At 37.8% G+C, this 20469-nt stretch overlaps 1 protein-coding gene across 6 annotated transcripts in view, besides 2 other annotated features; it reads left to right on the forward strand.

Annotated features, from left to right (window-relative positions):
• Window positions 1–20469, forward strand: part of PRKG1 (protein kinase cGMP-dependent 1) — a 1307463-nt gene that overhangs the window by 1045743 nt on the left and 241251 nt on the right. For 5 of the 6 annotated variants that reach the window (NM_001098512.3, XM_017016413.2, NM_006258.4 and 2 more), the window contains exon 6: window positions 17854–17931. In NM_001098512.3, the coding sequence (NP_001091982.1) occupies window positions 17854–17931 (78 nt within the window). Of the gene's footprint in view, window positions 1–10125; window positions 10297–17853; window positions 17932–20469 lie in introns of those variants that run through there. The other variant, NM_001374781.1, reaches the window with a different exon arrangement.
• Window positions 2423–3036: an enhancer, noted in NCBI's record as "OCT4-NANOG-H3K27ac-H3K4me1 hESC enhancer chr10:53798813-53799426 (GRCh37/hg19 assembly coordinates)". NCBI's record gives its function as "activates a minimal SCP1, AML or CMV promoter by ChIP-STARR-seq in naive and primed H9 embryonic stem cells {active_cell/tissue: H9 hESC(naive and primed)}" and the evidence as "EXISTENCE:reporter gene assay evidence [ECO:0000049][PMID:30033119]".
• Window positions 3650–4262: an enhancer, noted in NCBI's record as "OCT4-NANOG-H3K27ac hESC enhancer chr10:53800040-53800652 (GRCh37/hg19 assembly coordinates)". NCBI's record gives its function as "activates a minimal SCP1, AML or CMV promoter by ChIP-STARR-seq in primed H9 embryonic stem cells {active_cell/tissue: H9 hESC(primed)}" and the evidence as "EXISTENCE:reporter gene assay evidence [ECO:0000049][PMID:30033119]".

Raw genomic sequence — 20469 nt, forward strand, 5'->3', positions numbered from 1 at the left:
AGGAGGACGCAAAGGAGGCTTTGGATTGGGAAGAAGGGCGGCAATGAGATATAGCTGTAGTCCAGGAATAGTCAGGGAAGCAGACAATTTAGTTAAAGTGTCTCAGCCTAATAAGGGAACTGGGCAGGTGGGGATAACTAAAAAGGAGTGCTTAAAAGAGTATTGTCTAAGTTGGCACCAGAGTTGGGGAGTTTTAAGAGGTTTAGAAGCCTGGCCGTCAATACCCACAACAGTTATGGAGGCAAGGGAAACAGGCCCTTGAAAAGAAGGTAATGTGGAGTGGGTAGCCTCCGTATTGATTAAGAAGGGGACGGGCTTACCTTCCACTGTGAGAGTTACCGGAAGCTCGGCGTCTGTGATGGTCTAGGGGGCTTCCGAGGCGATCAAGCAGTGTCAGTCTTCAGCCGCTAAGCCGAGAAGATCTGGGAAGGAGTCAGTCAGCCTTGGGCCAGAGTTCCAGGGGCTCTGGGAGTGGCTGCCAGGTGAGTTGAACAGTCCGATTTTCAGTGGGGTCCCACACAGATGGGACACGGCTTAGGAGGAATCCCGGGCTGCAGGCATTCCTTGGCCCAGTGGCCAGATTTCTGGCACATGTAGCAAGCTCCTGTGGGAGGAGGTTCTGGAGGAGCCTGGCCGCTGCGGTTCAGGCATTTGGAAGTTCCTGTGTGCTGGAGATGTGGCTGGGGTTTGTCTCACAGTGGAGGCAAGGAATTGCAACATTTTTCTATTATTGTACACCTTGAAGGCGAGGTTAATTAAATCCTGTTGTGGGGTTTGAGGGCCGGAATTTAATTTTTGGAGTTTTATTTAATGTCTGGAGCAGATTGGGTAATAAAATGTATTTTGAGAATAAGACGGCCTTTTGACCTTTTAGGGTCTAGGGCTGTAAAGTGTCTCAGGGTTGCTGCCAAACAAGTCATGAACTGGGCTGGATTTTTATATTTGATGAAAAAGAGCCTAAACGCTATCTGATTTGGGATAAAGAAAAAGGAGCATTAAAGTTGACTATGCCTTTGGCTCCAGCCACCTTTTTAAGAGTAAATTGCTGGGCAGGAGGGGGAGGGCTAGTCATGGAACGAAACTGTAAGCCAGACCAGGTGTGAGGAGGGGAGGTGATGAAAAGATTATAGGGTGGAGGAGCAGAGGCTGAGGAAGAATTGGGACCTAGCTCGGCCTGGCGAGGAGCAGCCTGGGGAGGAAGGGAGAGGTCAGATGGATCTGTAGAAAAGGAAGATTAGAAAGACTCAGCGATGCTTGGGGTTGGTACTGAGGGGACAGGCGGGAGGGAAAGAAGGAAGATTTGGGATGAGTGGCACTGGGCACAGAGACTAGGAAGGGACTGATGTGTAAAAGAATGCCTGGACGTCAGGCACCTCAGACCATTTGGCTATTTTACGACAAGAATTACTTAGATCTTGCAGGATGGAAAAATTCAAAGTGCCATTTTCTGGCTATTTGGAACTACTGTCGAGTTTGTATTGGGGTCAAGCAGCATTGCAGAAGAAAATAAGGCATTTAGGTTTTAGGTCAGGTGTGAGTTGAAGAGGTTTTAAGTTTTTGAGAACACAGGCCAAGGGAGTAGAAGGAGGAATGAAGGGTGGAAGGTTGCCTATAGTGAAGGAAGCAAGCCTAGAGAAAAGAGAGAGTAGAGAAACTGAGGGAAGGGGTTCGGGGGTTCTTACCTTCCAGAAAAGTGGGAAAAGAGGTTGGGGCGCAGAGATAAGAGGTCGGGGCATGGAAATAAGGGATGAAGCACAGAAATAAGGGGTAGGGGCACGGAAATAAGGGGTCGAGCATGGAAATAAGGGATTGGGGCACAGAGATATAAGAGGTTGGGGCGCGGAAATAAGGGATTGGGGCACAGAGATACGAGGTTGGGGTACTTGCCCATCCTCTAGAAAAGCGGGACTTGCCGCTAAGAGTGAAGGAGAAGGGGTTGAGGGGTACTTGCCCCTCCCCCAGAAAAGCAGAGAAGGGGTAGAGACAAGGAGAGAAGGGGTTGAGGTACTTGCCCCTTTCCCAGAAAAGTGGGACTTGCTGCTAAGGGTGAAGGACCAAGGCAGGCGTCCCTGCGTGGTCTGACACCTTTGAAACGTGGGTGAATAATCAGAGAGGCGTCCCTGCAATGATAAAACACCAGGGGAAGGCTGCCTTCCCAGTCCGTGACCAGCGCCGGAGTTTTGGGTCCACGGATAAAAACATGTCTCCTTTGTCTCTCCCAGAAAATGAAAGGAATTGAAATTAAGAGAAGGGAGAGATTGAAGAGTGGAAAGAAGAAAGTGGTTGAGGGACAGTGAGAGAGGTTGGAGAAGAGAGTAAGAAGAGGCCGCTTACCTGATTTAAAATTGGTGAGATGTTCCTTGGGCTGGTCAGTCTGAGGACCTGAGGTCGTAGGTGGATCTTTCTCGTGGAGCAAAGAACAGGAGGACAGGGGATTGATCTCCCAAGGGAGGTCCCCCGATCCGAGTCACGGCACCAAATTTCATGCACGTCCGTGTGAAGAGACCACCAAACAGGCTTTGTGTGAGCAACATGGCTGTTTATTTCACCCGGGTGCAGGCGGACTGAGTCCGAAAAGAGAGTCGGTGAAGGGAGATAGGGGTGGGGCCATTTTATAGGATCTGGGTAGGTAAAGGAAAATTAGTCAAAGGGGGGTTGTTCTCTGGCAGGCAGCAGTGGGGGTCGCAAGGTGCTCAGTGGGGGTGCTTTTTGAGCCAGGATGAGCCAGGAAAAGGACTTTCACAAGGTAATGTCATCACTTAAGGCAAGGACTGGCCATTTACACTTCTTTTGTGGTGGAATGTCATCAGTTAAGGTGGGGCAGGGCATATTCACTTCTTTTGTGATTCTTCAGTTACTTCAGGTCATCTGGGCGTACATGTGCAAATCACAGGGGATGCGATGGCTTGGCTTGGGCTCAGAGGCCTGACAGTAAACATATTGAAATGCTACTGTACCAGTTAGTACGTATCCTCTGCTAGTAACCCTCTGACTGCCACCTCAGCTCATTCCTGAGGCCTCTAAACCACACCATAACCTAGGAAGGGACCTAGGACCCTGTGCAGCCTGTGTTCTTTCTGACTGGTTAGTGCCCTTAAACTGCTACTTATTAAATATTCTGTATACTATATTTGGTATTAGCTCTGGAAAATACACTAATTTCACTTTCTGGGGAAAAAAATCCTTTTCTTCCTTTGTCTCCTAATTTTTGAGAAGCACTCAAGTCTCACCAGTGCACTGCTTCTGAGGAGTTATATGGCATACTGCAGAATAAAAAAGGGGGCAAAATCCTAAATGACTCTACCTTCAGCTCTGAACAAGACTACTCTCAGACAAGCCTAGACAGAAACAAAAAATCCTTACCATAAGAACCACATCCTCCAATGTGTGAGGAGCCCTTTTCTCCCTCATGTAATTTAATTCTCTCTTTCCATTCTTTATTGACCTCAAGCACTCAAGATGCCCTTTAAACTCAATAGTGCCTTCTCAAAGAGAAAGGTTAAGTGTTTATTTTAAACTCCTAAAGAAGTAAAATATTGAGTAAATTCTACATACATTTGACCTGCTCCACTATTTTTGCTATAGGGTTCATGAGAAACTGTGATCAACCTGCTCTTTTTCTTTTTGAGTACTGGATTTATTTTGGTAGAAACTTCAATACATATTTATACTTCAGATGGTGACTCTGAAACACTAAATTGTGTGATTCCCTGTAACACATTTCATAATCTGTCGGGGCAAACTATTTTCAAGTTCTGCTGAAGCTAATTGCCTTTGTAAATCAAATTGTTAAATTTGAATTATAGTTTAATTAGGTGGAGTAGAATGCTTGCTGGTCTACTCTATAAACAGTTTTATTCTGTTGTCAAATGAATAGGTCTGAAATGAACTAAGTTTAAAATAGATTTTTGGTGTTTTGTGGGCCTGCTTTGATATTACTCTTAGTCGTTATATTATGTTAGTATATTTGCATCAGAAATCTCTGAAAGGAAATGGGAACAGTTTGACTTCCTCCTTTCCAATTTGGATGACTTTTGTTCCTTTCACTTGCTAATTGCTCTGGCTAGGACTTTCAGTATTGTATTGAACAGAAGTGGTGAAAGTGGGCATCCCTATCTTATTCTGGATCTTGGAAGGAAAGCTTTTAACTTTTTCTCGCTTAAGTATGATGTTAGCTGTGAGTTTGTCATAAATGGCTTTTCTTTTTTTTTTTTTTTTTTTTTGAGATGGGAGTCTTGCTTTGTCACCCAGGCTGGAGTGTTGTGGCATGATCTTGGCTCACTGCAACCTCCACCTCCTGGGTTTAAGCAATTCTCCTGCCTCAGCCTTCTGAGTAGCTGGGATTACAGGCGCCCGCCACCATGCCCTGCTTATTTTTTTGCATTTTTAGTAGAGACGAGGTTTTACCATGTTGGCCAGGCTAGTTTTGAACTCCTGACCTCAAGTCATCTGCCCACCTCGGCCTCCCAAAATGCTAAGATTACAGGTCTGAGTCACCACTTGTACTGAGGTACATATCTTCTGTGCCTAATTTGTTTAGAGTTTTTATCATCAAATTGATGTTGAATTTTGTCAAATGCTTTTTCTGTGTTTATTGAAATGATCACATGGTTTTTATCCTTAATTCTGTTAATGTGATGAATCACTTTTATTGATTGACAATGTTGAACCATCCCTGCATCCTTTGGATGAATCCCACCTGATCATGGTGAATTATTTTTAAAGTGCTGTTGAATTCAGTTTGCTAGTATTTTGTGGAGGGTTTTTGCATCTATGCTCATCCAGAATGTTGGCCTATAGTTTGTCATTTTTATTGTTGTGGTCTTGACTGGTTTTGCTATCAGAGTAATGCTGGCCTTGTAGAATGAACTTGGAAGAATTCCCTTCTCTCCAGTTATCTGGAATGGTTTGAAAGGAATTAGTATAGTTCTTTAAATGTTTGGTAGAAGTCAGCAGTGAAGCCATCAGGTCCCATGCTTTTCTTAGACGGGAGATTGGTTATCATGATTTAATCTTGTTAGTAGTTATTGGCCTGTTTATATTTGCTATTTTTTAATGACTGAATCTTCGTAAGTTGTATGTGTCCAGGAATTTATACATTTCTTCTAGGTTTTCCAATTTTTTGATATATAATTATTCATAATAATTTCTTGTGATCTTAAATATGTAAAACCCTAAGAGTCCTTCAGAAATTCTTAGAATTAATGAGTAAATTTACTAAAATTTCAGTATACAAAATCAATATATTTAAATTGGTAGCTTTTCCATAAATTAACAGTGAACTATCTAAAAAAGAAATAAAGAAATCTCATTTATATAATAATAGCTTCACACACACAAAAATTAGATACCTAGGAATAAATTTAACCAAGGAGGTGAAGCAAGATCTCTACACTAAAAACTATAAAGCACTGATGAAAGAAATTAAAGAGAACAGAAGTAAACAGAAGGATATTCTGTGTTCATGGATTAGAAAATTAATATTGTTATATTAAATATTGTTGAAATGCCCATCTACCCAAAGTGATATGCAGATTCAATGTACTTTCTCTCAAAATACTAAGGGCATTCTTTGCAGAAATAGAAAAATCAATACTAAAAATTGATATGGAACCATGGAAGACCCTGAATAGCCAAAGCAATCTTAAGCAAAAAGAACAAAGCTGGAAGCATCACACTACCTGACTTCAAAATACACTAACAAGCTATAGTAACCAAAACACATGGTACTAGCATAAAAACGGATACACAGATGAATGAACAAAATAGAAAGCCCAGAAATAAATCCACATATCAACAGCCAACTGATTTTCAACAAAATGCCAAGAGCACACATTGGGGAATGAACAGTCTCTTCAATAAATGGTCCTGGAAAAACTGGATATCCACATGCAGAAGAATGAAACTAGATCCCTATCTCTCACCATATGCAAAAATGAACTTCAAATGGATTAAAGACTTAAACATAAGACCCAAAACTATGAAAGTACTAGAAGAACATATAAGGGAAATGCTTCATTACATTGATCTGGGCAATAATTTTTTAGTAAAACCTCAAAAGCACAGGCAACAAAAGCAAAAATAAACAAATGAGATTATGTCAAACTCAAAAGCTTCTGCCCAGCAGGGGAAACAATCAACATAGTGAAGAGACAGCCTGCAGAATGGGAGAAAATATTCTCAAATTATACATCCAACTGGGCATTAATGTCTGGTCTATGTAAGAAACTCAAACAATCCAACAGCAATAAAAAAACAAATAACTTGATTTAAAAATGGGCTAAAGATCTAAATAGTCATTTCTCAAAGGAAGATTTAGAAATGGGTAACAGGTATATAAAAAATGTTTTTATCACTAATTATCAGGGAAATGTGAATCAGAACCATGATGAGATTTCACCTCACTCCAGTTAGAATTGCTGTTATCTAAAAGATAAAAGAAAACAAGTATTAGTGAGTATGTGGATAAAAAGGAATCTTATTCTTTGTAGGAATGTAAACTAGTACATTTATATGGAAAACAGTATGGAGGTTCCTCAAAAAATTAGAAATAGAGCTGTCCTATGATTCAGTAAATTCACTATGGGGTATAAATCCAAAGGAAATGAAACCATGTATTGAAGTGATATCTGGACTTCGGTGTTTATTGCAGCACTATGAAAGATATGAAATCATACCTTGGCTATTGTAAATAGTGCTGCAATGAAGGAATGGATTAAAAATGTGGAATATATACACAATGAAATACTTTTTAGCTCTAAAAAATAAAATCCTGGCATTTGTGACAACATGGATAAATCTGGAGGACATTAAGTGAAATAAGTCAAACATAAAAAGCTACATACTGCATGATCTCACTTATATGTGAAATGTAAAATTTTGTTTCATAAAAACAGAGAGTAGAATATTGGTTACCAGGAGCTGGAGAGGGTAGGAGAAAGGGAGGGATGGGGAAAGATACAAAGTGACAGTTAGAGAGGAAAAATAAGTTTTGGTATTCTATTTCACATTTTAGGTAAAAATAATATATATTTCAAAATAGCAAAAAGAGGATTTGCATGTTGTCACCACAAAGAAATGATAAACATTTATGGTAATAGACTGCTAATTACCCTGATTTGAACATTACACATGTATATATATGTATTGAAACATCACATTTTACTTCATAAATATGTACAATTATACATCAATTAAAAGAAAAACTTAAAAAATTTTGGAAAAAAAAACCAAGGATTGAAAATCCATTAAGTAAACAGTGTCATTGAAGAGCCCAGTTAAACATAGAAAAAAAAAAAAAACCCAAGCATTTGTGGAATTTCAGCCCAGGTTATCCCTTTCTTTGTCTGATATTCAGGGTAAGGATTCAGATAGTCCAGGCAGCCAGTGCTAGGTCAACAGTTGTCTTTGAATCATAAACTCTGAAGGTGTTCAAGAGGCTTAAAAGATAATGATGTGCTCTAACCACCAAAGACACAAAGAACTCAAAAATATTTGAGATTCAAAGAAAGAAACCAGCAGTGCCAGTTGTACAAAAGCCTATGTAGTCATCTTGCACTGTGAGAAGTGCTAAAAGTTAGTGTGGAAAATTGGGTACTTGGATATACCAAAATGTAATTATAAGTGATTGCCTTTTGTCATAATGTGGGAAAGGTAAGGCAGAAGATTGAGGAAGAAGATCAGAGAGCTCAATGAGGAAACAGATGAACTGAGTCAATGTGTCATTTACTTAAATGGAGATTATACATTCTTTTAAAAACGTACTAGTACTTTCTACCTATGCACACCTTTAAAAGGGAAATAATTTTAAAAACGACAGAACTCCAATACAAGTATTTTTATTAATGATAATTACTAAGAATGATTTGATGTAGAAGCCAAGATACTTCATTGTTCTGAAAGTTTATGGCTTTTGTAAAGAAAGAAAAGTATTTATTTTATCAAAGTGTTGTTTGTTGTAGTAAGGAATACGTTTTACACTTGGGTCTAGTACACACATAATTATTTACATGCACAAACCAAACACTTTTCCAGATTATACTTATCTTACTACATGTGCTTTATTTGATGTTTTCTGTTCTATTCCATTTTTTTAAAATGCTGTTTGCAGCCCTCTAAATAGATTTCTTGATACCTTTAATGGATTGCATAGAACAAGGGACACAGCAGCATACTCCCAGATGGGGTTACAGCTTCTCTTGGTTCCTTAGACACCATAAAAATGCAAAGCTGCCAGTCATTTCTGTTCATCCTGGTGACAGTTCCGTTATTTCCTTTAAGAAGCTTCATCTGGGTCCACTGCAGGAAATCTTTAAACCTTTGTGTCAACTCCAAACTGCTTGAGAGGCAGACATACAGCAATTCTGAGTCTCAGCCAGCCTGTTGGCTTAGTACATTTGGGTGCAAGTCACAAATTAATTTTCTAAATTGTTTACATAGTACCAGTACTTCTTGCCCTAGGTACTTTCACATCTATTCCTTTCATCCATGTGGGAGCTAGTAAGAATCAATCCCAGCACCTTAATAAGGCAAATTTTAATTATGTGTCTTTGGGATCTGACCATACATAGCTGGTCAGGATGAGGCTTAGGCCTGTCTGATATTCTATCCCCACAATATCTGTCCTATCTAGTGGGGATCAGGCTGATTTATAGAGCAACCTAAGGGCTTTAAATACTAATGGGTACCTCAGTAGAAACAAGGTCCTGAGACTACTATCAAGGTAGGTAGAAATGTAATGATTCAAGGAGAAAGGACCAAGCACAAATGCCTTGTAGCTAGAATGCATCACAACACCAGAAAGAGCAAGGCAAAGTTCAAGGTGAAGTAGTTTGAGAAACAATGTTACAGGTAAGTGAGGAATGTTTCATCCAGGGTTGTTATGACATAAAGGAATGTGACAAGGGACAGCTGTGTACATATAGATTCTTAGCAATGGAAGTGACACAGACTCATATTTGTGCCCAGCTGTTTGTGTCTTAAATAATCTTGGTGAGCTAGGCAAGTTTGGTGTCTTGAGGGACAGTGATGGACAGGCTCTCTATCCAGAAGTCTTAGATAACTATACTTGATGATTAAAAGAAAAAAAAACAATTTTTTGTCCACATTTGGGTTTCTACCAAGGAGTTTAGGTTTTCTAGGTGCTCTGAGTCAGCCCCAGAGGAATGGAGGGACACACTTCATTGATGTTTAGAGCTCTCTTTGTTTGATATCCACATTTTCACTCCTGGGGGCATGATGGTTCTTGCAGGGAGGAGAAAGGCTCTGACTGTGGTTATCTGGAAACCATCCTTCCTTCCCACAGTAGAGTGATCCTGGTGAAACTTTTAAGCAGTCAAAATGCATGCTGATGTTTGCTGAGATTCTGGTTTTGACTCTTTAGGATGTGTTTCTGTATTTCTTCTCATCCACAGGACATTAACTAGGGAGATCTCTGAATTTTGAATACAAAGTAAGGTTGGAAGTGAACTTTACTATTGTGATTTTTTTGTGATAGAGGAGAGAATGGTAAAGACATTAAACTTTAGATTGTTCAGAGGTTGAAGGTCACTGGGTTAATTATATTGGATTTGGAGAATGACGCAATAAAAATAAATTCATTTCTATTTTATGAGTTATAAGATTCAGTCACTCTGACCTTCTTTTTTTATGTAAAGTACATGCACTCATCATCTGAGCACCTTTACATTTGTGGAGGTATTTGTACCTTTACAAACACTGTTCTCTACACATGGAAAGCCCTTCCCCCTTCTTCCCCATCCAGTGAGGAATCACTGCCTGCCTCGGAAAAGCTTTGTATTATAGATTATTTGTATACTGTTCTATCTCTGTACACTGAAATTTCCCTAAAAATAATCAAACTAACAATTTATAGGTATATCATGATTACAATATGACAGACACTGTGTTTTGTTATTATTAACTCATTCAGTCCTCACAACAATCTGTTTATGGAGGTATGGTTATATTTTGCAGAAAAGAACATGGCATAGGGAAGTTAAGTGACTTTCTTAGGGTTCCAGAGCTGGATTTGTAACCAGGGAGCCTGCCTCCAGTACCTGTTTAATCACAATGCTATGCTGACTCTCTAATTGTTGACTGTGTCTTGTGTATCTTTGCAGCCTCAGTGTCAAGTGCAGTGTCTCATTCATAGGAGGCACACATAAATAATGTTGGTTTAATTAATTAAATTAACAAAAGGCTGCACTCTCCTAACCAGATTGTGTATCTCCTCTGCACCTGAAGTTCAGACTTGGTAAAGCAGGATTTTACACATTAATTTGAGAAGATCTGGAGGCAAGTTTTTATTCTGCCCAAGAAATGTGGGGAAGTGTTGGATGTAAATAAATAGAGTGTCCCGAGTGGAAGATGAGATGTAGCGCTTAAATAGAAAATCTCTATAGTATGAGAGATGCGTAATTCCTCATACATAATTCCCGATTATCCCAGATGTCCAGTAGGTTGGGACAGGGTGGTGATGGTATGAGGAAGGAAAATTAGAAAAAGTGTTCCAGGATTTATTTATTCTTTTGATATCTTGGTTAATTTGTGGATGATGATATGAGGAACAAAAATTTTCTTTTAGAGGATAGGAAGGAGAGCATATTAAAATTATAGCCTGAATGAAGTTATCTGTTATCCAAGAAAACAGTTCATAGCAGAACAAATCCTTTCGACAATGGTTTTTCCATGAGTGAGAAATGGCCCATTTATGACAACTTTTGTGCACTGAAAAATATTGCTGCACTACTTCTGTGATGAAATCTGTGGTGACCATGGATTGGAGATCAGAGTGAGAAGAACTTCTGGTTTACAGATGTGATAGCTAACTGGCTCCAGAATAGATTTTACCTAAAACCTTATATTCCAAACCACCAAAATCTAAGGATAGCAATGGTGAGAATTTTATGCTGTTATGAATAGCTTTCAGTCGTTCTTGGCATCTCTAGATAATCTAGGACCAGTCATATCTAATGGACAGAGCTTTAACAAACACAAAAGTCCACAGTCAAGAAATGTCTTGCTGGTTGCCTACCTTACTAGCATGGTTTTTGATTAATCAAGCTGTTTGATGATTCAGTTCTACATGAAAAGGTCTTGCCTTTGGAGTAAATCTGGGATATTAGGGAGAGGTAAGAATTTCCTTTGAGGAACTGACTGATTTTGGCCCCAAAAAGGCAGATCCCAATATTTTAAATAATGTTCTTCATCTTAATATAGGACTCTTCTTCTGAGATATATCTTCTGAAAGAATAAGGTACAAACCATGACCCAAGATCATATTGATTAATCTTAACTCAGCAGATTTCCAATGATTATTCTGTTTCAAACATTTATTAGTCATGCTTTAGTTGAGATGTACATGAGATATACATGTATATGTATATATAAATAAAGCGGGCATACAAAGGTGGTTTATACTTATTGCAGCTATTTTTATAATTAGTAGCAATTACCATAGTATTGGTAATTGCCTGAATTAGTAATTGGCCTGAATTACATATGACCTGATCATTAGAAAAATGTCAATTATGGATGATCTATGCTTTAATAAAGACTTAAGCATAACTCCAAACTTAAATATAGAGGAAATAATGATGTCATATTTTATTGATGATCTATGCTTTAATAAAGACTTAAGCATAACTCCAAACTTAAATATAGAGGAAAAAATGATGTAATCTTGGGCTGAAATAATTTAGGGTGAGAATTTATTTCAGAATGATATGTTGTGTTTTAGTTTATATTAACTGAGATTCAATGAGAGATTACATTAGTCAGAACTGAAAATGAAATTGCTAGTTAAAATATGGTATATTTGATATCAATAACTATGACTGTGATCTAACAAAAGAAAATAAATCATTTATATTCACCAAGGAGTCACCATCAAGGCCTTCAACAACCACATCCAGTGTTGTAATAAGCCTCTGTCACGTGTCATCAAATAAATATGTGTAGAATTTTAAAATAGCTAAATGTACATTTATATATTAATGTTGAATTCTGAGAACGCAAAGGCACACAATATTAACTAGAAAAGCCATACCTTATATTTTAGCAGCAATGAGAAGACAGGTTTTTTAACTCACAAGTTTTAGAAATAAAAGTTCAAGTTATTGTCTTTGGGGAAATGTATTGCTTAATTTAGACGTGCTGTCAATTTTCTTTCTCTATCTATCCTCCTAATCTCTGATTTATAACTCCGTTTTCTTATTTGAAATGAAGAGGTTTGGGCTAAATCTATCTTCAATCTAGTTATCTTTCAACAAATATATATTGAATGCCTATTTTGTGTTAGGCACTGTTCAAACTGAAGCAATGAATATAGCATAAGACCTCCAGGTAACGGGGGGAGGAGTCACAGATAGCAAGCAAAAGAGTAATAATTTCAGATCATAAAGACTGTGATAGAAGACTCTTCTCGCAGGAGGCTTTGCTGTGGTTTGCAGCTGTGCTGGTTATCACGCAGTCATTAAAGCATGCAGGAGCATTTTGGCAGCAGCAAACCTTTGGATAGCTTTCTACTATCACAGAAATACAAACAGGGATACAAAGTGAATGGGGTCGGAGTGCACACTGGTAAGATTGGCCAGAAAAAGGCTTTATGAGGCCCCAGTGATGACAGCAAGATAATGTCAAAAATCTTAAGGAGGAGTGCTAGAGAAAGGACCAGTTGAGTGCAAAGTCCCTAGAAGGGATCCAGCATGGCACATGCAAGTCACAGAAAAAAAGCCAGCAAGTCTGAAACAGAATCACAAGAGTGATAATGGGAGGGGAAAGGATGGAGAAGTGAATAGGGGTCAGAATACAGAGAATTTTACAGACCACAATAAATTGTTTATGATTTTACTTGTAGTAAGAAGCCATTGAAAGTTTTTAAGCAATAAAGTGATTTCAATTGATTTGTTATTTGAAAGGTCACTTTGATGGCAGTGAGAAAAATAGAGGGGATGGTTTGGGGTATGATGAGTAGACAAGTGACAGGGAGACCAGATAAGAAGACATTGCAAAGGTCCAAGATAAGATTTTGTCTTGAACAAGGGAAAAAAACAATGGGGATAGTGGAAGAATATTGGGTTTAGCCCATGAGTTGGAAGTAGAAGCCTTTCTAATAGACTGACTGTGGGCAATATTAATGATGGGGATTAAGGAAGACTACCTCATTTGTGCAATTAGTTTTGAGTCCCTACTATGTTCCAAGCACAAGGTTAGGCACTGGGGATTTTATGTGTGGTGAACAGAACTAGACACAGTTCTTGCTTTCAGAGGAGTTAAAATCTGGTGAAAAATAATCATGCAAGTCAATAAACAAGTAGAAGCCTAGAAAAGGGCAATGAAATAGACCTGTGTGGTATTGTAAGTTCATACAATGGAGAGAACTAATTTAGCCAGAATGTGTGTGTGTGAGAGAGAGAGAGTGTGTTCATGTGTGTGTGGTGGTGGTGGTAAGGGTGGGTATGCCAGGTGAGAGAAGGCTAAGATCTGAAAGAAAAGTAGGATATAACTAGGGAAGCAGCAGTGAAGTATGGCAGTAGGAGTGCTCAGGCCTGGTGGTGGCACAGTCAAGGAACCAATCTCAGAAGGCTGGCAGGGCTGGAGGGCAAAATCGGGAACAGTGAGAAGAGGTTGGATACTATGGCATTGAGCAGACATGGTCTCGTAGGCCATGTTTGAGAAACTGGCTTTTATCTTAATAACTATGGAAACCTTTGAAAGGAAGCTGTCTAATTGCTAAGATTTCTTCTTACTCTAAATTCTGTTTATTTCTTTGATTTAATTTGAAATATGAAAATGGTAGAGCTGTAAAATAACCTTCAAAAACCAGTGAAAGTGCTGGCATTTGATTAACATAATTAGAGAGCCTCTTAAAGAATCAGCATGCAAGATCATCTTCCCCTCAGGTGCAATTAAACGTTTCAGAATAGCTTAGTCATTACAGTCCTGGTGTTACGACACCATAAATATTATCTTTCCCAAACCTAGAATGCCTTTGGCCACTGTTCCATAGGTTGTTCTGTGACCCCTGGATTTTATGAGCTCATGCAACATGGACATATGTTCGTTCAGTGAATGCCTGTGTAGGTAAACAGATATTTATATGACAAGTTGAGTTATGAAACACCATATCAGATGATATTAAGAAGATGATTAGATAAGTTTCAAGAATTAAATAGACTAGACTATATCTGGATATCCCCACCAAACTTTCAACTCTTTAAGATGAAGAGATTAAGAATATAAAAAATTTAGAGTAATTGCTATCAGCTGGGGACAGTTTTGTTCCCAATGGAGTAATTAGCAATGTCTGGAGATAGTTTTGATTTCTGCAGCTGGGGTTAGGGTGCTACTAGCATCTAGTTGGAAGAGGCTGGCAACTCTGTTAAACATCCTGCAGCAAAACTGGATGTACAGGACATCTCCCTACAATAAGAACGAATGGCCTCAAAATGTCAATAGTGCTGAGGTTAAGAACCCCTTACTTTCGCTCATTTTAATATATTACAAATAATTTTGGCTTTCTGAAAGAAAATAACTATCACATGGATAGGGATATGCTTTTTAAAAGGAGATGGATGAGGGGAATGAGCTCACATAGGTTAAGAGTTCTTCAATTTTTGGTGCTTTTTATTTGCATTTTTCTACTTTTTCCAAAATAATTGTATATTCACTAGTATTATTTGATCATAATGAGCTGCTTATTCTCCTCTTTCTGAGGTGTTTTTAACCTGCTGAATATTGGTGACCTCTTTATCCTTCTGTTGGGGCTCAAGAATCCTCCATGGAGAAGCTCTTGGGAAGTCACATGTCTCCCAGACTGTGCTCTCACACGTATAGCCCTGTACTTATATACAGGAAAGCATTCTGCAAGCTGGATTATTCTGGCATTGTTGAGTGATCTTGAATTAGGAACCAAGTGAGAAACAAGACAAAGAGTAGGATAAATGGAGGCAAAACATTACCATTATTACTAATAAAATCTGGGTTACAGGATGTACCTTAGGTATGAGAGCCAGCTAGTCTTCCCAAATTGAACCCTATCATTGGGCAGAATTACCTGCCCTGTCACAGAAGCTCAGAGAGGGGCAAACTTCACTATTGTGAAGAGAAGGGCCTTTCCCTGGAGAAGCAGCAATGCCAGCCCTCTGTGGGAAGCTCCCTTCCATGAGGAAAAGAAGAGAAGTTGGGATGAGCACACATAGCTGTTTACTTCCAAGTTTATCAATCAGATGAGTCATGCCACCTCTCCTGGTGCAGAGTGAGGAAAGGGGAAGAGAAAGGTACTTAGTTTTACTAATTGAGCTTCATTCACGTGGAAGGAAGTATCAAGAGTGGGAAAGATGTTCTCCTCTCCCGCTTGTCCCAAAGCTACAACTGTAACTCTGCTACTACCTTTGCTACCCAATACGGTATCTACTATGTGTGACTATTTAAACTTTAATTTATTAAAATTAAATAAATTTAAAAATTCAGCTTCTGAGTCACACTGGTCATATTTCAAATGCTCAGTAGCCCCATGTGTCTTGTGGCTACCATATTAGACAATACAGTTATAGAACATTTCCAGTGGATGGAGCTATTATGAGATTTTACCCTATTCATCTTTGTGTTATCAATGCCTATAAAAAGGCCTGACTCTAAGGCCCTCAGAAATGTTTGCTGGAAAGGCACACTGGTTCATGCCTATAATCCTAAGACTTGGGGAGGCCAAGGTGGGAGGATCACTTGAGCCCAGGAGTTTGAGACCAGCCTGGGCAACATATAGGGAAAACCTCTCTCTACAAAAAAAATAAAATAATAATAATAATAATAATTAAATTAACTAGGCATGGTAGTGTACACCTGTGGTCCCAGCTACTTGGGAGGCTGTATTAGTTCATTCTCATACTGTTGGTAAAGACATCCCTAAGACTGGGTAACTTAGAAAGAAAAAGGTTTAATGGACTCAACATTCCACATGGCTGGGGAGGCCTCACAATCATGGCAGAAGGCAAAAGGCACTCTTACATGGTGGCAGACAAGACACAATGAGAGCCAAGCCAAAGAGGAAACCCCTTATAAAACCATCAGGTCTCATGAGACTTCTTTACTACCACAAGAACAGTATGGAAGAAACGGCTCTCATGATTCAATTATCTCCCACCAGGTCCCTCCTACAACCTGTGGGAATTATGAAAGCTACAATTTAAGATGAGATTTGAGGTGAGAGGATCACTTGAGCCTGGGAGGTCAAGGCTGCAATGAGCCATGATCGGGCCACTGCAACAGAATGAGCAACAGAGTGAGACCCTGTCTTAAAAAGGTTTTGGTTAAATGAATACATGAAAGTGGACCACTGCCATTTTGTTTTTCAAATCTGCATGTTGTAAAATTCTTTCCATTTTAGTGCAGCATAGATATCTTGTTAAATGAAATAAATCAGTTGAAGAATATGCATTCTATAATATTATTTTTATTTAGAAATAATTATTTGTATTCATGTGTGTGTGCAGGATGGGTTGGTGGTTGTTAAAAGCATGGAAAGAAAGTCTTGAAGTGTACATATCAGACTGTATATATCATCTGGTGGTTGAAACTGAGGGAAAGGAATAAGAAATACTTTTTTATTTAAAAATCTTGTTCCTAGAAAACTGAATTACTTTTGAGTAAAAAAACTAGCAAATTAGGTAGTATGTTAACTTTCTAGATACTCTAAGAAAATAATGGCTCTTTTCAATGTCAAGTATTAATGAAAGGCAATTTTAAGGCAATCTTAGCACTTTATGTGTTAAGAAAAACTGTATTGAAGCATAAGGACAAATAACAACCATCAGTCTAATGGATACTGCATGTAAACCACGAATTCTGTTTTGTTAGGAGTGTGCAAAATAATGTTTTATTTCCCAAAAATATAGCTTCTCTGCTATGCTGCAGAGAAGGATAGGGCCAGATGGCACAGTTCTCATTTTTCTGTTAGACCGCTTGACCCAGCAGTATACTTTCTCCGACCTCTCCTTATTGAAATTACTTTTGTTCATTGCAGAAGTAATCTTCACCCTGGAAACAGACCTAGTTGTGGTGTCCGTGTCAGAATACTGATATACTGACTGTGATAATCCTTTTGCGGCCTTACCTCACTCCTCATTTGATAGTTTATAAGCTCACAGATGCTGGACCAGAATTCAGTCCATAAAATTAAGATATTCCATTTCACAGGGCCAAATCTAAACTGCTGAAGCAAGAACACTAAAGCATGAAGTGGTGCCTTAAAAAGTAACTAGGGTCGTCTAACCCACAATAAAAATCAACCTGGTTTCAAAGGAAGATTTTTACATGCTGCAACAATTTCTTAGGAGAAAAAGGCTCTAATTATGAGAATATAAAACTCAATGAGAATGACAAATAAAATAATATAGAATGAGTAGTTCTATATTATTAGGAGCTCTGCTATTTTGTTTTATGCTCAGTTGATGGGAGAAAAGAATATTTTCATCAAACAATCGAAATGAATGAATTTAAAGGTATGATGTAATCACCTAGAAAAATGACATTAAAAGCAGTCTTGAAAATGAGCATTATAGCACACCAGCATGGCACATGCATACATATGTAACTAACCTGCACATTGTGCACATGTACCCTAAAACTTAAAGTGTAATAATAATAAAAAAAGAAAATGAGCATTATAGAGATGATATCTTTGTCATTATTGCATACATTGACTAATATTCATTATTAAATCATGATGGTTCCAGGCTTGGATAAAATTCCATTAGGATGAATATATCCCTGGGGGTTGATATTTGAAGAGGCTGAGCTGTTTGGTAACTTACTGCTTGCTTAATTTTTTTTCTTATTGTTTCTACTTTTCAGACCCACTATGAAAATGGAGAATATATTATCAGGCAAGGTGCAAGAGGGGACACCTTCTTTATCATCAGCAAAGGAACGGTAAGCTTTGGTGGCACAAGACAGTGATGCACTAGGGGAGCCTGGGGTTGGTTAGTAACTCCAGTAGGAACACATGCAGAGTCTTGTGCTATATGAGTTTGTTCCATTTTTTGACACAGAGAGGTATTAGAGAATGGATCTTACAAAAAATGATGCAGGAGGGAAAAAAAGATGTAACTTGGAAGACCAGTAAGTAGCCTACTTGCTAATAATCATAATATTAGATGACACTGATATATTTGTGTGAATAGAAAGATCTCCATAATTAAAATAATATAATAAAAAAATACCGGCTGGATGTGATGGCTCATGCCTGTAACCTCAGCACTTTGGGAGGCCGAGGCAGGTGGATCACTCGAGCTCAGGAGTTCAAGACCAGCTTAGGCAACATGCCAAAACCTCATCTATACAAAAAATAGAAAAAATTAGCTGGGCATGGTGGTGCATGCCTGTCATCCCAGCTACTTCGGAGGCTGAGACAGGAGGATTGCTTGAGCCCAGGAGGCAGAGGTTGCAGTGAGCCAAGATGGTGCCATTGCACTTCAGCCTGGGTAACAGAGCAAGACTTTGCCTCCAAAAAAAGAGAAAGTAAATACTTAGGTCACTTACAAAATTCATCAAGTCATTAGAAGCAGTAACATTGCTATAATGAAACATCTGGGCTTTGAAATCAGATGGCCTAAATTTTAATCCTGTTACGAAATTTAGTCATTTTAATGCCCTTAGGCAAGTTGCTGAATACTCTGAGGATGATAAGGATAGATATACATTAATGTTTTAAGTTATTTTCATAAAGAAATATTGATAGTAAAAACTACTAAAGGTGATAAATTATAAAGGAAGGGGTAAAAATGGGGTAGACAAGGGTTATGAATGAAAAATCATACTTTATTTCTAAAACTTTTAATTTTTCAACAATATGAATTTATTTATATCTTAAAACTAAGAAATTGAGTGAATTGGAAAATAGAATTTCTTTTAGATTAATGCTATACTATTGTATTACTAAAATACCTTAAATTTATTTCCACAGTAAAGCTATAATCATGTTTGTGTTTGTGTCATTATATGATAACCTATGATTTAAACTTATGTTTCTTTATTATATATCATTACAAGGAATTCATATCTCTGCATGTACTAAGTATAGAAGGAGATGGAGAAGGAAATGCGAATAGAAAGGAATTGATAGGCCAGTTTCCGTTTTTATAATTATCACTTTATAAATGAAGCATATTTATTTCCTCTAATTTAACAAAATGATTGACTATAACTTATAGCTCATATATAGAGAGATTTACAGAGCTACAGTGAATAGAATGCAGTGGAAGATTATAAGTATTGTTGAATCACAATTTAGGTAATTCTCCTTGGACTACTTTTGGATCAAGTGTATGCATATGTCAGTATTTACACCAGTGGCATGTCACACAAAAATGAAGAAAACAATATTTATATTTTTATTATTCCTATTCTTTTGACTGATCTCTGAATGCCTGGGATAGAAGTAGAACTCAAGGCTGACTTCTTAAAAGATATCATGAAATGACATGTCTGACCACGGTTACAGTTAAAATTATATCTTATATTTTCCAATGTTAGAAGATAAGAAAATTTTAATATTTTGTAGTTTATAAGATAGATTGTTAGAGCTTATCATTTATTGTCTTATTGTTTAGATTGACTAAAGAATCAGGGAAAATTGAAAATCGCCATGGATGTAAATTATTTGAAAAGTTGCATAGGGAATTTGTCCTGACATTCTAGATTTGTTTTTTCTTTACTACATGGCTAATTCTTCGCTATGATGCAATGATGTGTTTATCCTTTGAGATGGATTTCTGACAGTCTTTTGTTACCACCCTGTTAGTGCAAATTTTACTGCCTAAAAGTAATGCTTTGTAACCAGTTTCAGCTGAAGACAGGTGCATTAGTCATGCCTTTTTACGAGTTTCATAGTAAGTATAAGTAGAAAAAGTGTGGAAATTACACCACAGGAACCAATTCCCTTGGCAATATTTCAGAGCACTCTGGGGATTCTGGGAGGGAAGTAGTACTAATATATTAGACTCTCTTGACACATTCAAGATCTTTTACTTTAAACCAGACATAAATTTCTACTAACTTACTTTTTTAGGTCACACAAGTTAGCTGCTATGATTCTTAGTTATGTAAATTACATAATAATTGTATTAATTTTATTCATTCTAATACTAATATATTAACAATATTAATTATATTAGTTCTAATTCTAACATATTAAAATCATTAAGAATATGTCACCATATACAATAATTAGAATATATTAAGTCTTAAGAAGCAGAAGGTGAGGTCAGCATACTTAAGTCCCAATGGCAAAGAGCAGGAAAGAGAGGTGAATAATAAGAGAGTAGGCTCAGTTGAGCAGGCAAATAAGTTGTGGAACTGGAATTTTCTACAATTATATGTCATATGTTTTGTTTTAGGTGTACAGATGTCAACTTGTTTTCCCATGCATTTAAAAAATGTATAAAGGATAACCTTGGGCAAGATCTGTTT

This window comes from Homo sapiens, chromosome 10, assembly GCF_000001405.40.
Source record: "Homo sapiens chromosome 10, GRCh38.p14 Primary Assembly".
NCBI lineage: Eukaryota > Metazoa > Chordata > Mammalia > Primates > Hominidae > Homo > Homo sapiens.